General features: G+C 55.9%; 1 protein-coding gene across 11 annotated transcripts in view, besides 4 other annotated features; it reads right to left on the bottom strand.

The window, feature by feature from the left end:
- PPIL2 (peptidylprolyl isomerase like 2) overlaps positions 1 to 15968 on the bottom strand; it is a 34004-nt gene that overhangs the window by 4733 nt on the left and 13303 nt on the right. For 10 of the 11 annotated variants that reach the window (NM_148175.3, XM_011530049.3, NM_014337.4 and 7 more), the window contains 13 exons: positions 13893 to 13984; positions 12757 to 12846; positions 12026 to 12101; positions 10370 to 10530; positions 8725 to 8800; positions 8285 to 8391; positions 7551 to 7640; positions 7177 to 7210; positions 6434 to 6551; positions 1411 to 1467; positions 618 to 690; positions 466 to 528; positions 213 to 346 (listed from right to left, as the gene is read on the bottom strand). In NM_148175.3, coding sequence (NP_680480.1) covers positions 213 to 346; positions 466 to 528; positions 618 to 690; positions 1411 to 1467; positions 6434 to 6551; positions 7177 to 7210; positions 7551 to 7640; positions 8285 to 8391; positions 8725 to 8800; positions 10370 to 10530; positions 12026 to 12101; positions 12757 to 12846; positions 13893 to 13984 — 1171 coding nt within the window. Of the gene's footprint in view, positions 1 to 212; positions 347 to 465; positions 529 to 617; positions 691 to 1410; positions 1468 to 3104; positions 3899 to 6433; positions 6552 to 7176; positions 7211 to 7550; positions 7641 to 8284; positions 8392 to 8724; positions 8801 to 10369; positions 10531 to 12025; positions 12102 to 12756; positions 12847 to 13892; positions 13985 to 15968 lie in introns of those variants that run through there. The other variant, XM_024452193.2, reaches the window with a different exon arrangement.
- Positions 4865 to 4974: an enhancer, noted in NCBI's record as "active region_18703". NCBI's record gives its function as "activates an Ori minimal core promoter by ATAC-STARR-seq in GM12878 lymphoblastoid cells {active_cell/tissue: GM12878}" and the evidence as "EXISTENCE:reporter gene assay evidence [ECO:0000049][PMID:35858748]".
- Positions 6240 to 6289: an enhancer, noted in NCBI's record as "active region_18702". NCBI's record gives its function as "activates an Ori minimal core promoter by ATAC-STARR-seq in GM12878 lymphoblastoid cells {active_cell/tissue: GM12878}" and the evidence as "EXISTENCE:reporter gene assay evidence [ECO:0000049][PMID:35858748]".
- Positions 7907 to 8407: an enhancer, noted in NCBI's record as "H3K4me1 hESC enhancer chr22:22041165-22041665 (GRCh37/hg19 assembly coordinates)". NCBI's record gives its function as "activates a minimal SCP1, AML or CMV promoter by ChIP-STARR-seq in naive H9 embryonic stem cells {active_cell/tissue: H9 hESC(naive)}" and the evidence as "EXISTENCE:reporter gene assay evidence [ECO:0000049][PMID:30033119]".
- Positions 13352 to 13853: an enhancer, noted in NCBI's record as "H3K4me1 hESC enhancer chr22:22035719-22036220 (GRCh37/hg19 assembly coordinates)". NCBI's record gives its function as "activates a minimal SCP1, AML or CMV promoter by ChIP-STARR-seq in naive H9 embryonic stem cells {active_cell/tissue: H9 hESC(naive)}" and the evidence as "EXISTENCE:reporter gene assay evidence [ECO:0000049][PMID:30033119]".

Raw genomic sequence — 15968 nt, 5'->3', positions numbered from 1 at the left:
TCCCACATCCCCCTGAATTTGATCTCTTCCACCCACAGAGGCCCCGGCCAGGCCTTCAGAGGCAGTCCCTCGGCTGCAGAGGCCACACAGCACAAGCCCACGGCCGGGACCAGTGCCCATAGCTTGCTTGCCCCTCTGGGTCTGACCCTCAGACCTCAGTCAGCCCTAGGAAACACCATGGGAAACAGGGAGGCCAGCCCCGCGGCACTCACGTGGCTGCTGGGTTGATGTACTTGCCCACGCCCTGGCGGAAGGTCTGGGGGCCCTGGCTCCCTGCCTGGGGCTGGCTGCTCTTCACTTTGGTCTCCGGGGCTACCTTGAGCTGTGTCTTCCGCTCCTGCGCAATCTGTGGCACAACAGGGCGCTGGCTAACCGGCAGCACCTCGGGCAGGACAGATGCTAGGCTTGGGGTGGAAAAGTGCACTAGCCCAGACCCTCCTAGGTGGTGGCATCGTGCCCCCTCACCTGGGCATCGGCCTCCTCATAGGGGTCCACGAACACTGTAGTGGCATCAATGCGGATCTCCTCCTAGCAGCAAAGGGGGCTCAGTGCACGGCAGGTCCTCCCCCTGCCTGCCTGGCCCCCAGCCGCCACGCCCCACCTCCCTGGGCACAGACCTTAGGGCGGTCAGTTTTGGGGTCACTCTCCACATTCTCCATGGCTGTCAGTACGTCAAAGCCCCCAACAACCCTGCAGCAGGGAGACAGAGGTGGGTCTGCGTGTGCTCAAGGAGGGCACCCCCACGGCTGAGCCCCAAGGCACGTGGGAAGAGGGGTTGAGAGCCCCGAGGCTGGCCTGGTGGTCCTTGGGCAGCAGCCAGGAAGGCGATGAGAGGGAGTGGCAAGGGCGGGGTCGGCTGACCATGGCCCTGGGCATATCCAGCTGGGTTTTTTTCTGTTTTTGTTTTTTTTTTGGTTTCCCCCACCCACAGGAAAAATAGGAGTCACAAAACGTGGCTTGTGCTCTCCCCGCTGGTTTGGTAAACAGAGTTCCACTTGGCCAGAACCACATCACCTGCGTCCACCCTGTTTCGTGCTGCTTCCACACAGCTGGGTGGGCGTCAGAGACCACGTGGCCCACAACGCTGGAAAGACCCCTGGACTAGAGGGTGAAGGGAGCTGGGTGTGGCCAGGCTTGCGAGTGGCGCGCCACTGGGTCTGAGACAGGGCAGTGTCCAGGCCACATGGGCGAGTTTCCTCCTCTCCTGAGCCCGGTGGGTCTAGAGAGCCAGACTTCCCTGGCACATGGAGCACCCTCCATCGCAGCTCTGCATAGCCTCAACCCCCAGCAGTGATGGCCAGCATGGCACATGACTCAGGTCCACGAAAAAGGCAGTGAGGAGGCCTCAGGTGGGGAAGGAACCCACCTAGCCCACTGACCCCCCAGGCTTCACACAGCCGCTTCCCTTACCGTCCAAAGATGGTATGCTTCTTGTCCAGGTAGGCACAGGAGCGAAACGTGATGAAGCTGGGGAGGAGGGCTGGATGGTTAGGGAGAGCATGGCACCTTCTGCACCTGGCCTGCCTAAGAGCACACCAGGAGCTGCCCACCCTCTACAGCCAGCTCTGGGAACCTGCAGCTTCCACGGACGCATGTGTGCACGTGGTTCCCTGCGCTGCCCACCAGGGCAGGTCATTAGCCCCCAAGGCTGCCCAGGGGACCCCGGAACTCCAGCTGTCCCCAGGTCTTCCTGCTGCCCCGGCTGCTGCCCACTGCCTGTCAGGTGGTCCCTGTGCCCAGAACCAGGTTGGCCATGCAGCTCTGTGGGAGGTGGCTGGGACGAGGGGACACCTGGAAAACCAGAGCCAGCCCCATGTCATCAAGGGACCTGTTGAAGGACTGAGGAGAAAGGAGGCAACAAAGCCAGAACAGGAGTCAAGGGATTAAGAAACGTGGGTAACATAAATAAACATGGACTAAGAAAATGCTCAGGTCGTCCAGGCACAGTGGCTCACGCCTGTAATCCCAGCACTTTGGGAGGCCAAGGCAGGTAGATCACTTGAGGCCAGGAGTTGGAGACCAGCCTGGCCAACATGGTAAAACCCTGTCCCTATTAAAAATACAAAAATTAGCTGGGCGTGGTGGCGTGTGCCTGTAGTCCCAACTACTTAGGAGGCCAAGGCAGGAGAATCGCTTTAACCTGGGAGGCAGAGGTTGCAGTAAGCTGAGATCACACCACTGCACTCCAGCCTGGGCGACAGAGTCTGTCTCAAGAAAAAAGAAAAAGAAAAAAGGAAATGGGGTGGAATTAAAACAGCCAACAGCACTGCCATGAGACGAGGAGAGAGTTTCTGCCAGCCTGGTCTGGGAGGAAGGCAGAGACTACCTCATAACTTTGGACTTTTTTTTTTTTTTTTGAGATGGAATCTTGCTCTGTCCCCCAGGCTGGAGTGCAGTGGCGCGATGTCGGTTCACTGCAAGCTCCGCCTCCCAGGTTCATGTCATAGTCCTGCCTCAGCCTCCTGAGTAGCTGGGACTACAGGCGCCCGCCATCACGCCCAGCTAATTTTTTTGCATTTTTAGTAGAGACGGGGTTTCACTGTGTTAGCCAGGATGGTCTCAATCTCTTGACCTTGTGATCCACCTGCCTTGGCCTCCCAAAGTGCTGGGATTACAGGCGTGAGCCACTGCACCTGGCCAACTTTGGACTTTAAATAGATGTCCTTCTTAACCTTAGACCAGAAGTAAAACATCTAATTTCCAAACCAGCAGAAAGAGAAGAGAAGCAAATGAAAATAAATATAAAAAATGGTAACTAGAAAGCAACAAGATCATAGAACGCAACAGACCACCTGAAGAATTAAGTCCACATTTAAGATTGTCAGGATTGGCCAGGCACAGTGGCTCACGCCTGTAATCCCAGCACTTTGGGAGGCCAAGGTGGGCGGATCACAAGGTCAGGAGATCGAGACCATCCTCGCTAACACGGTGAAACCCCATCTCTACTAAAAATACAAAAAATTAGCCAGGCGTGTGGCGGGCGCCTGTAGTCCCAGCTACTAGGGAGGCTGAGGCAGGAGAATGGCATGAACCTGGGAGGCGGAGCTTGCAGTGAGCCGAGATCGCGCCGCTGCACTCCAGCCTGGGGGACGGAGCGAGACTCCGTCTCAAAGAAAAAAAAAAAAAAGACTGTCAGGATGAAGGAGAACACGACAGACCCCAGCTGTGAGCCTTCAAAAAGCCCTCAGAGGGCAGAGCCAGAGAGGCTGAAAAGAAAACGATGGAAGACATGGGGTGGGTCCCGGCGCTGGCGGCACGGAGCACTCCCCAGGGTGGTGCAGGCAGGCACAGCCCACAACCCGGCTGGTGAGACACAGGACTTAACCTCCACTGCATCAAACATGCACCCCCCAGCCACGCAGGGACACGCTCCTGAGCCCACCAAGTCTGACCACACCCGAGGCCACCAGACAAGTGTCCGCAGATGTGACATCTGCAACGGTGCAGACCTGAGCTCTGACCTGCAAGCAGTTCCCTCTCTTGCTGATTTCTAACACAGTGAAGGAAACTAGAAGCAGAATTAAACTCAGATAAGAGGAAAGTAAAAGAACCATCCTGAGGCAAGCTCCTCCTAGAAAATCTTTTTTTTTTTTTGGAGACGGAGTCTCGCTCTGTCACCCAGGCTGGAGGGCTGGAGTGCAGTGGCGCGATCTCGGCTCAATGCAAGCTCTGCCTCCTGGGTTCACGCCATTCTCCTGCCTCAGCCTCCTGAGTAGCTGGGACTACAGGCGCCTGCCACCATGCCCGGCTAGTTTTCTGTATTTTTAGTAGAGATGGGGTTTCACCGTGTTAGCGAGGATGGTCTCGATCTCCTGACCTCGTGATCCGCCTGCCTCGGCCTCCCAAAGTGCTGGGATTATAGGCATGAGCCACCGCGCCTGGCCTCCTCCTGGAAAATCTTTAATTACAAGAATCACAAAAGGGAAAACAAAGCTGTAACAAATTAAAGTCTAATGATCTTTGAATACGGTAAAATAGGCAAACCTTTGGCAACAGTTGTCCAAGAAAGCACAAAATACTACTAGAAATAAGAAAAGAAGGCCGAGTGTGGTGGCTCATGCCTGTAATCTCGGCACTTTGGGAGGCTGAGGTGGGTGGATCACCTGAGGTCAGGAGTTGGAGACCAGCCTGGCCAACATGGTGAAACCCTGTCTCTACTAAAGTACAAAAAATTATCCTGGTGTGGTGGTGGGCGTCTGTAATCCCAGGAGAACCGCTTGAACCCAGGAGGCAGAGGTTGCAGTGAGCCGAGATCCCGCCATTGCACTCCGGCCTGGGTGACAAGAGTGAAACTCCATCTCAAAAAAAAAAAAAAAAAAAAAAAAGAGAAGGTGGCAACTGATCTGTCAGCAGTTTCACAGGCTGGTTAAGCCAAAGAGAAATAAAAAATAATAAAATGATTCCCTGCCCTGGCCCCTGCCAAACAACAAAAACAAACCACGCACCCAACCTACTTGAAAATAACCAACAGTCCTAGGCAATCCTTGGCTGAGAAGAAATTGAAAGGGAAGCTACCAACAACCAGCAAGCAGTGAAGAGGGAACATGCACCCTCAAAATGACAGACGTGGCTATCAGAAACACACATGGATTAAAGTGAGGAAGGAGGAAAAGCACCATGAAGAAGCAAAGACAGAAACTGAAAACAATTACAAACCCTTCAAAGTGAAGTGAAAACAGACAAACCCTTCAAAGACCACTAAGGGACTGAGGAATGGAAAGTGTGATTAGGCATGAGAAAAAAAGGTCAGCACAGCGAGGCCAAGAGAATACCAGCCTTCATGGAAACAAGTGCCCGTTAACCCTGAAATGAAAGCCCCAAGGAAGTGGCACGAATAGCTGCCAGCTGCCTTTGCCCAGCTGTTAAGCACAGCTGACTCGTTTGATTTTTTTTTTTTTTTCCAGACAGGGTCTCACTGCTGCCCAGGATAGAGTGCAGTGGCGCGATCCTAGCTCACTGCAGCTTTGACTTCCCAGGCTCAGATTATCCCCCCACCTCACCCTCCCAAGCAGCTGGGACTACAGGCGCACGCCACCATGCCCCGCTAATTTTTTTTATTTTTTGTAGAGATCGGGTTTTGCCATGTTGCCCAGGCTGCTCTCGAATTCCTGGGCTCAGGCAATCCACCTACCTCAGCCTCCCAAAGTGCTGGGATTACAGGTGTGAGCCACCACGCCTGGCCATCCCTGTGATTTTAACCATTCCAGGCCACAAAGCCACAGCCAGCCCTGCTCGTAACATGCAGGGGCCACACCTGTCACAGCAAAACCTGCTGGAGCCAGTCCACACAACCGAGACCACGTGTGACAGTGAGCTGGCAGAAGGCCACGGCGAAGCCACGACAGGCCAGGGTTCACCCCAGAATGCCACGGAGACACCCATCCACTCTGGCCTTGTAGTGGCCACATCCACAAATCCCGGGAGGACCAGAAAAAGGACAGAATCATCATAGTAGATGCTAACAAAGAAACCTCTAAAAAGTCAGCCACCCTCCTAAAAACAGCCCAACAACAAATGTTCTGAGAAGGCAAAACAGCGATTTCTGTGGAGCACAGCAAGATGCCCACATCCTCCTCCCCCATCAGGCCCACGGTGACGTGACGGTGACGTGACTGATGTGCACACCAGGGAAGCAGAGAGCAGACCAGCTTTTGGTGATAAGCGTGACTATCTAGAAAACCCAAAAAAATCTTAAAAACTTTTGAATTATAAGATAATTTGTTAAAGTGGCTAGATATAAAATGAACGGTAGTTTTTCTCTACATGAGCAATGATCCCCAAAAGTTGGGAAAAAAAAAGTCCATTTACAAAAGTATCATAAACTATAAAAAATCCTTAAGAGGTTGCTTTATCCCGGAAGTCACAGGACCCATGTGAAGAAAACGATTGAAAGACTGAAACATAACATCAGGCCACTGTCTGGGGATGGAAAGGGCACCTCTGTTCTTCCACAATACAGGCATCCGGCCCCTGTGTGCATGGCCCTGCTGGCCCCCCATCCCCTGCCTCCTGCCACCAGACTGCACACTGCTCCCCACATGCACCAGGGCCAGACCTCCTGTGTCTCTCCAGGCGCCTCTCCCTGTGCAGCCTGTGCCCTGCACAACCCCTCCCACACGCTGACCTCCCCCAGCACTGCCTGGCCACAGGCACCCACACGAATGCCTGGTCCCTGTCAAGAAGCCCTTCTGGACCTCCAGTAATTCCCGACTTCTGGTCTCTCGAGGACACACCCGGTGCGGGCAGCTCTCCCTGCTGACTCACTCTGGGGACCCCCTTTTGAACGCAGGTGCACATGCTTGGCCTAGGTGTGCCGTACACCGTCTGGGTATGATTCAGAACCAGCACACCCTTCAGAGAGGGCCAAGAGGAAGAACCCGCAGAGAGTGCCGGCTCACCTCCCAGGCCACCCCAGCAAGCCCAGCTGACTCACAATTGAGACCTGTTGCTGTTGGGCCCGGAGTTGGCCATGCTGAGGATGCCGCGGCCCGTGTGCGAGAGGTTGGGCCGGAACTCGTCTTTGAAGGGCTTCCCCCAGTATGACTCCCCACCTGGAAGAGAAAGGCCCATGGGAGCAGGAAAGCCTGGGCCCCAGCCGAGGCAGAACTAGAAACCTCAGAGTCCCGAGGGGCATCAGGGCCTTGCTGAGCCCAGCCTGGGGCAGGGGCACTTGATAGGGAGGCTCCCAGCCCCACGCCACCAACTCCTGGGTCCCTTGGAGCCCCCACGCCTCCAAACAGGCAGGCTGCTGCCCACTCACCCCAGCCCCGCCTGGGGCCTGCCCCGGGACAGGGATTAAAGAGTCAAGGCCACCATCATCATCACTCAAGCTATGGGAATACAGAGGTTGGGGGATCTGGACCCAAGCAGCTGCCAGGCTGAGGGGCTTGGAGAGGCTGCAGGAGGGAGGGCTGGCCTCAGTCTGAGGCAGACCCCAGGGGCCCAGGGAAGAGACCACACACTCTTGCCTCCTCTACCATGCAGGCCTCACAGCCACCTGGAAATGAGAAAACTGAGGGCCAGGCCTGAGGGGGCACAGCACTGATGGCTGCCAGTCGTTCCACCCTGGTCTAGCAGATTCCATGTCTGAGCTGTGCACAACCCCTGCCCAGCTACCCCCTCATGCCCCACGGAGCAGCCAAAGTGCCCAGAGAGGGGCCCAGCACCAGTACCTACCCGTGCCTGTGCCTGTGGGGTCGCCCCCTTGGATCTGTGAAAACAAAAGCCAGTGAGCAAGTCACACTCTGAGACCCGAGGCCCACCGCCTGCCTGACTGAAGGACACCCCTCCTGCCAGATGGCTCCACACAGGGGCTGGGCTCTTGGTGATAATGAGGGGCCCTCCCAGCCACCTCCCTTTGTGAACCCAGTTCTGGATGGGCTGGGGCCTCAAGGGTCAGTCTATGGGTTCCCCAACAGAGGATCACCAACTGGACTCATCCTGGCCACCGTGGGATGGGCCAGGGCCCTGGGATGGGGCAGGGACAAGCCCACCCAGCCCCCGATGTCCCACCAAGCTCATCTGTGCAGCCAGTGACTCTCGTCACTCACCACAAAGTTCCGGATGGATCTGTGGAAGATGGTGCCATCGTAATAATGCTTCTTGCAAAGCCTGATGAAGTTTTCGCAGGTTTTTGGTGTCTGCAACATAGCCCCAATACTTGTATGAAGCAGAGAGCTGCCAAAGGCAGCTCACCACAGCCACAGGAGGCTTTTTTTTTTTTTTTTTTTTTGAGGTGGAGTCTTGCTGTTGCCCAGGCTGGAGTGCTGTGGCGCGATCTTGGCTCACTGCAACCTCCGCCTCCTAGGTTCAAGACATTCTCCTGCCTCAGCCTCCCGAGTAGCCAGGACTACAGGCATGCGCCACCATGCCTGGCTAATTTTTGTAGTTTTAGTAGAGACGGGTTTCCCCATGTTGGCCAGGCTGGTCTTTAACATGTAGCAGAGTCAGCTGCCCAGCCACACTGGGCACGGATGGACCCACAACATTAAGCAACAGGACCCGTGCAGCCGCACGGCCCAGAGTACAGCGCATGGGAGAAGTGTGGGCAGAGCAGCAGGTGCGGCTTGGCCCCTTCTCTGAGACACTGGCACCTGTGCGCAGGCCATGCTGCCAACGCGGCCCCCTAGGAAGGACACAGGGCACTGCTGCGGGTCCCGCCTAGTGACAGGCTGAATTTCCTACAACAAGCACATACCAGTGGCAGCCCTATATTTAAGACATGGCTGTCAGATGACCCAGAGATGACCTTGGGGCATGGGGAGTGGCTGGCCTCCACACCCACCAGGTCGCAGTGCAGCTCCAGGTTGAGGTCGCCCTTGTTGGTGTGCAGCCGCACGTAGCCCTTCTTCTTCACAAACTGGTAGCGCAGCACATCCTCGTCGATGGCAGCTACAAGCCAAGGTCCCAGCTCAGCCCCTGCCCTCACCCTGGGGCAGCCCCACCATGCCAGGCAGCACCGACCTCAGACACACAGGCGGGGACTAGGCTCCAGCTCTGGGGAGAGCAGGGGAGCTGGAGGCCGAGGGTCTGCTTAGGCCACGCACAGGCTCACCCCAGCCTCATGGGGCTGGCAGGGGTTCAGCAGCTAAGAGGGGGAGGACTAGGGGCTCAGGTGACAGTGGGAGCCCCTGACAGACCAATAAAGTGGGAGTCGGGGAGCACACCCACCCCCTGCCACTTTTGGGTCACATGGCAGGTGGCTACAGAGGCCAAGGTGGCTACCTGCTTCATGTGTGGTCTCCGGGACCATCGCGGTGGAGGTGAAGGAAGCGCTGACCTTCCCTGTGGAATAGTGGGCCTGCCAAGGAAACCAGGGTGGCACCTCAGCAGTGCCATGGGAGGCAGTTGGGTGGGGACGTGTCGCTTGCCTAGAAGCCAACCACACGCCACCCCTGCCCCCCAGGCCCTGCTTGGTGCCTCTCCTCCAGGAGGGCCTCCCCAACCAGCAGGAGGAAGAAGCCAAGGCTAGGCCAAGCCAGGGTCCCCTGGCCTCCACTGGATCCCGACTCTTATGATATCAGGTGAAACCCTGGAGATAAAATACCACACAGGACTGGCCACCTCAGGGTTAGGAGTGTATGGCTGACTTCTCATTTATTTTTATTTTAATTTTTTTATGAGACAAGGTCTTGCTCTGTACCCAGGCTGGAGTGCAGTGGTGTGTGATCCTGGTGCACTGCAGCCTCCAACTCCTGGGCTCAAGTGACCCTCCGACCTCAGCCTCCTGAGTAGCTGGGACGACAGGCGCATGCCACCACGCCTGGCTGATTTTTTGTAGAGATAAGGTCTCACTATGTTGTCTAACCTAGTCTTGATCTCCTGGCCTCAAGCAATCCTCCTGCCTCAGCCTCCCAAAATGCTGGGATTACAGGTGTGAGCCACCACGCCTGGCCTCATTTCTTTTTAAAAGTTTCAAACTTTCTACACTAAACACATTACATATTTAATCAGGGGTCGGGGAAAAGCCCCAATAAATGTTATTTTTTATCATAGAGGAAGAAAAAGGGGTTTCTCCCATCAGAAGAAAATACAAGCCAGGCACAGTGGCTCACACCTGTAATTCCAGCACTTTCGGAGGCCAAGGCAGGAGGCTCTCACTTGAAGCCAGGAATTCAAGACCAGCTTAGACAACATAGCAAGATCCTGTTTCCAAAAGAAAAAAAAAAGTAATATATCAAAGTGCTAAGGGCAGTGTGTTAGACGGAGTGACACACTGGACAACAAGCTTTCTTTTTCAAATTTTCCAGAATTTGAATAATTCTTTAAGAAGGAGAACTTCAGAGCTACCTGCCCATGTCTCTGCCCTCCCCCTAGCTCCAGATCCCCATGCTCTGCCTGACAGGAGGAAGAAGCAAACACGACAGCCCCAGACAGGTGGCACCGTGCAGTCCCAGGCATGCCATCCACGTCAGCACCGCAGCAGACCATGAAACGCCCCAACTCTCCCTGGCATGGCTTTGGGCCCCAGTGCACATCGGGCCCTGCCCTCCCAGCCACCACAGAACCACATGTGCCCGCTCAACGTGCCTGCCCTGGCTACTGAGCTCAGGCTGGGACCACAGCACAAGGCAGACCTTCTGTGGCAGGGATCTCCCCTACATGCCCCCACACACCCCTTGGTTCTTCAACGACCAGTGTGGACATCAGCCCCTCCCCTTCTGCCTTCTCAGATTCTATCTGCCTCAGGGCAGCCCCAGGGCTGTGCACTCAGAGCCATCAGGGGCACCACAGCTCTGGGGGATCCTGGCTGCCTCCCTGCCGTGTATCCCAGGCCCCCATGAGCCCCTTTCCCAGGACCACTCCAAGAGGCCATGAGATGGGCAGGAAGACGGGGCTTGGGCTTGGCCGAGTGCCCTCCGCCACTCACAGCGTTCAGCTTGTCCACTTTCTTCTTCTCCGGGGCCTTCATGGTGGCTGCCAGAATCTCGTCCCCTTTGAACTCCTTGTAGAGCTCCTGCAGGGTCTCTCGGGTCTCGGCATTTGTATTTTTCAGATAATAAGACGGGTCCTGTTTGGCCTTCTCTTCATCTACAAAACAGTAGCATGGCCCTGAGCCGCCGAGCCCCCAGTAGCCTCCCCACACACGTGCTGGGGACACAGATCTAGAATAGCCCAGGGCCGTCCAGCCATGGCGCAGGCACCGTGCCACTGCCAGCCACAGAATGCCACAGTGCCCCGCTACAGGCCTGAAGGTCTCCCCAGGCAGTTCACAAGGGTCTCAGGATGGACTTCAGGTTGATTTGTATATTTTATATTTATCTGTATATTCTAATCTTTTTAGAGTATACGCTTTGCTTTTTTTTTCTTTTTTTTTTTTTTTTTTTTTGTGGAGATGGAGTCTCGCTCTATCGTCCAGGCTGGAGTGCAGTGGTGCAATCTCGGCTCACTGCAAGTTCTGCCTCCCAGGTTCACGCCATTCTCCTGCCTCAGCCTCCTGAGTAGCTGGGACTACAGGCGCCCGCCACCACGCCCGGCTAATTTTTTTGTGTTACAATCTTGTAACCTCGTGATCCGCCTGCCTCAGCCTCCCAAAGTGCTGGGATTACAGGCGTGACCCACCGCGCCCAGCCTTTTGAGACAGGGTCTAGCTCTGTCGCCCCAGCTAGAAAGCGGTTGCAAGATCTCAGCTCACTGTAGCCTCCACCTCCTGGGCTCAATCGATTCTCCTGCCTCAGCCCCCCAAGTAGCTGGGGCTACAGGCGCACCAACTACACCCAGCTAATTTTTCTATTTTTTGTAGAGACAGGGTGTCCCCATGTTGCCCAGGCTGGTCTCGAACTCTTGAGCTCAAGCAATCCGCCTGCCTTGGCCTCCCAAAGTGCTGGGGTTACAGGCATAAGCCACCACACCCAGTTGCTTTGCTTCTGTAATTTTAAAGGTTATTTTTATTTAAAATAATAGAAGTGTTTGGGGGTCTTTCCAGATGTGAAATCACCCATTCTTGCCGACTCAGGAGGGTGCCTGCTGCCTACTGGGCCTTGGACAGCAGCCCACCCTGTGGAGAGGGGCCGGCATCCCTGTGCAGAGAGCACAGACACGGCCCAGCCCCAACCCTGACCTCAGGCTCTCCTGACTCAAATCTTCCCCAGTTCACGTGCTCAGCCTACCTAAAACCCGTTCAAACAATGCTCACAAAGTGCCCAGGCCACTGCTCTGCAGCACAAGGCCGAGTGACCTCTGAACATGAGTCCTGCTGGCTCCTCCAAGGCTGCAGGACAGCCACCAGAGGCCAGGGAAACAGGAGGACCCCATCACCCCACCACCTGCCCACTGACAGCACCGGCCAGTCTGCAGGGAGCAGGGGAACCTGAGCAGGTGTGCTGGCAGGGCAGCAAGTCTATCCCGCCCATTGTTTCTGAGGCTGCAGTTGGCTCAGATTCTCTGAACACTAGTTCAGAAAATGCAGGGCCTGTCTGGGCTGGGACCCCCTGACCTCCAGGAAAGCGGGGGCTTTACCCAGGGAGCACTGTCCCAATTTCATCCAAAAGCCCCCTCGCCTAGCCCAGCCCCTAGGTGTACATACCTGGGTCTATTATTTTCATGTTATTCTTCACATGATAGAAGTTAGAGACATTGAACTTGTCCAAATTGGTGGGGTCCTGTGGCAAAAAGAGAATGCCCAGCAGAGTGAACCCAGCCTACGGCCAAATGGCAGCCACATGCAGCAAAGGACGGCCAGCTGTCAGAGGTGTGGAAGAGGCCAGGGCTACACTGAGGTTGGGGGAGTCAAGCAGGGCATGAGGGAGGAGGTGGTCTGCCCCAGGCAGGGCAGCAAACAGGGGCAGGGGCAGGGACGGGGACGCAGCCTCGCTAGCTGCTGGCTGAGCTGTGACCTTCCTCCAGGCACATGGCTAACGAGCATTCATTGCTGTTAGGGAGCTATCGGACCGGAACGTGGGCAGCCGTGGGCCGACCTCTGGTTAGAATGGGACAAGCCACAGAGGTGATTGACTCAGCAGGCCACGCTCCAGCCAGCACCTGCTTTTCTAAGTCAGTGTTTTTCATTAATTCACTTGGGGTTCTCTGACACCTGCAGGGACCCTGTGCCAGATACAGGGTCTTTGCAGAGCTCATGCCAGCTCCTGCCCTCGAGGCGCTGAAGCAGAGCCAGGCCTGCAGAGTGGCTATTCAGATGCCTCAGGTGGCTTTGAGGACAGATATGAGGGGCCCTGACGTGGGGGTAGGGCCCTGTAGAGGCCTGGGCTGGCTGCAGGTGCTGAAGGCAGCTGGGGCAGGCAGGCAGGGGACACTCACCTGGAGGGTGATGATGTCCTGCCGGGAGAAGGGCTCGTCGGTCAGCAGGTCCCGGAAGTTCTTGGCCTTGATATTTAGCTGTTCCACTGCCTATAGCCAGGAGGAAGTGGTTTTACGATGCCTGCCCCAAGCCTTGGCACAGGGGACTGCAAGCAGGGAGGCCTGGAGCTGGCCCCGACCATGGCACGATTTGAGAGGCATGAGGAATGAGAGAGACAGCAGTGTACACCCCACTGGCTGAAAGCAGTGGCTCCCACAGAGGCGGAGCTGGCTGGGCCTCAGACGATGAGCCAGTTCACCCTCGCAGCAACCTTCCTGCAGGAAGCTCTTGTCTGCACATTGATCAGCAAAAAGACTCAGCGAGTCACCCACCCACTCGCTGCAGGCTTTGCCAAGCTCCTCCCATGCACAGGTATGGTGCCAGGCCCCCGTGGGCAGGGGCTGTGCACACAAGATGCCTGCACTCCTGCGGTGCGGTCTAGCAGAGCCCTCACTCCACTAACGAGGACTGACCATGCCAGTTTGTGCAGGCTTCTGGCAAGAAGTGGCTCCCAAGGCCCCTGGAGCAGCGCTGGCCACCTACACCCCACAAACGTCCAGGTGCAGGATTGACAACGGCGCAAAGGTCGGCTTTCCCGCCATGTGGGGCCTGCCCCGCCTCACCCAAGAGGAGGACCCATGTGTGAACACGGCTGTCTCCCCTCTCCCTACACCCACTCCCTGCCAGAACTCCTCCAGGGGACAGCTCCCTCCTGGGGGCAAGTGACTCCATCCAGATCCGGGGCGAGCACTCCCCTCACAGCCCTAGAGGCCTGTCCTCAAAACATGGGTGCCTTCCCAGCACCTGGGCTTTGCTGAAGACGCGGAAGGACCTCTTGGGGTTTAAGGGTCCCTGCTGGGCAGCCAGGACTGCCTGGATTCCGAAGGATGCACCTCCCCCAACCCTTTTTTTGACCTGCCTGAAAATGGGGAGGCTGCACTGCCAGAGCTTTGCTAGATGACCATGCCTGTGGCTGTGACTGTAAACCCCACGAGGACAGGCCGTACACGTAGCACACAGCCCAGCCAGTGTATACTAGGAACACACAGCAGAGATCTCCCCACCGCTGTCTCCACGCCCCGGAGCGAGGACACACCTCATAGGCGTAGACGTTGCCGGTCGTCCTCACAGCCACGATGTGGGTGTTGTTGGTGAACACGGTAAACAGCACTGGGCAGTGGTACTTCCCTAGAGAGAAGGCACACACAGGGAGGCCAGTCACCTCTGTGGGCTGTGAACATCCCAGTGAGGACCGCAGAGGGCCAGGGCAGGACAGAACTCCAAAGTCAGCGATGGGAGGAGGTGGAACCCCATGTCAGCTGCCAGAGCAGGGAACCATGGGGACAGCTGCTCACCCCCTCAAGCCCTTCCACACCGTTAGGAAACTCCTATTCATCCTGCAAGACCCAATCCCGGCATCGTCTTCCTCAGATCCTCCAGCCCACCCCTGGGTGATCACCATGCTAGCCTCCTCCTCCTACTGAAGTTGGCCCTCGGCAGGAAACAACCCATGTTCCAGCCCTGACAGCTCTACCTCCTCTCACCCACATCCTCCGCCAGCCCCCTGGTCAGCTCTTCCTTCAGAACCGCCCATCCCCTTGCCTGCCTACTGTCTTTTTTTTGTTTTGCTCTGTTTTTTTTTTTTTTTTTTTTTTTTGAGATGGAGTCTCGCTCTGTCACCCAGGCTGGAGTGCAGTGGCACAATCTCGGCTCACTGCAAGCTCCGCCTCCCAGGTTCACGCCATTCTCCTGCCTCAGCCTCCCGAGTAGCTGGGACTACAGGTGCCTGCCATCATGCCCGGCTAATTTTTCTGTATTTTTAGTAGAGATGGGGTTTCACCATGTTAGCCAGGATGGTCTCGATCTCCTGACCTAATGATCTGCCCACCTCGGCCTCCCAAAGTGCTGGGATTACAGGTGTGAGCCACTGCACCCGGCCTTGTTTTACTCTGTTTTGAGATGGAGTCTTGCTCTGTCACCCAGGCTGAGGTGCAGTAGCGTGATCTCGGCTCACTGCAACCTCCATCTCCTGGGTTCCAGCGATTCTGCTGCCTCCGCCTCCGGAGTAGCTGAGACTACAGGCATGCATGCGTCACCATGTACGACTAATTTTTGTATTTTTAGTAGAGACAGTGTTTCACCACCTTGGCCAGACTGGTCCCGAACTCCTGACCTCAAGTCATCTGCCTGCCTCAGCCTCTCAAAGTGCTGGCATTACAGGCATGAGCCACTGCACCTGGCCTTGGTTACTGTCTCTCTGCCTGTAAGTCCCCACCCAGTGGCCAGGGGCCCTGTCAAAGTGCCCACTTCTGGGGATAAAAAAGTAAGTGCAGTAGGGGGACTCAGAAACATCAACCACATGTATTTGTGGGGACTTTTTCTTTTTTTTTTTTTTTGAGACAGAGTCTTGCCGTTGCCCAGGCTGCAGTGCAGTGGCATGATCTCCTCGGCTCACTGCAAGCTCCGCCTCCCGGGTTCACGCCATTCTCCTGCCTCAGCCTCCTGAGTAGCTGGGACCTACAGGCGCCCGCCACCATGCCCGGCTAATTTTTTGTATTTTTTTAGTAGAGACGGGGTTTCACCGTGTTAGCCAGGATGGTCTCGATCTCCTGATCTCGTGATCTGCCCACCTTGGCCTCCCAAAGTGCTGGGATTACAGGCGTGAGCCACCGCACCTGGCCTTGTGGGGACTTTTTCTTAAAAAAAATCCTGATTTGAGGCCAAGTTAGAGCCTCAAATTAGTTAGAGCCTCAAGTTAGAGGTGGCTCACACCTCTAGTCCCAGTGCTTTGGGAGGCCAAGGTGGGAGGATTGCTTGAGGTCAGGAGTTTGAGACCAGCCTAGGCGATAGGCTGAGACCCCGTTTTTTTGTTTTGTTTTGTTTTTTGAGACAGGGTCTAGCTCTATCACCCAGGCTGGAATGCAGTGGCGCAATCACAGCTCACGCAGTCTCAACTTCCCAAGCTCCAATAATCCTCCCACCTCAGCCTCCCAAGTAGCTGGGACTACAGGTGTGCTCAACCACACTGGCTAATTTTTAGGTTTCATTTTGTAGAGACAAGGTTTCATTATGTTGCCCAGGCTGGTCTTGAACTCCTGGGCTCAAGCAATCCTCCCACCTTGGCCTCCCAAAGTGCTGAGATTGCAGGCGTAAACCATGGTGCCCAGCTGTT

The sequence above is a fragment of the Homo sapiens genome, chromosome 22 (genome assembly GCF_000001405.40).
Source record: "Homo sapiens chromosome 22, GRCh38.p14 Primary Assembly".
In the NCBI taxonomy this organism is placed as follows: Eukaryota; Metazoa; Chordata; class Mammalia; order Primates; family Hominidae; genus Homo; species Homo sapiens.
Note: the sequence above shows the minus strand (reverse complement) of the source record. Positions and strands in the feature narration are given on the sequence as shown.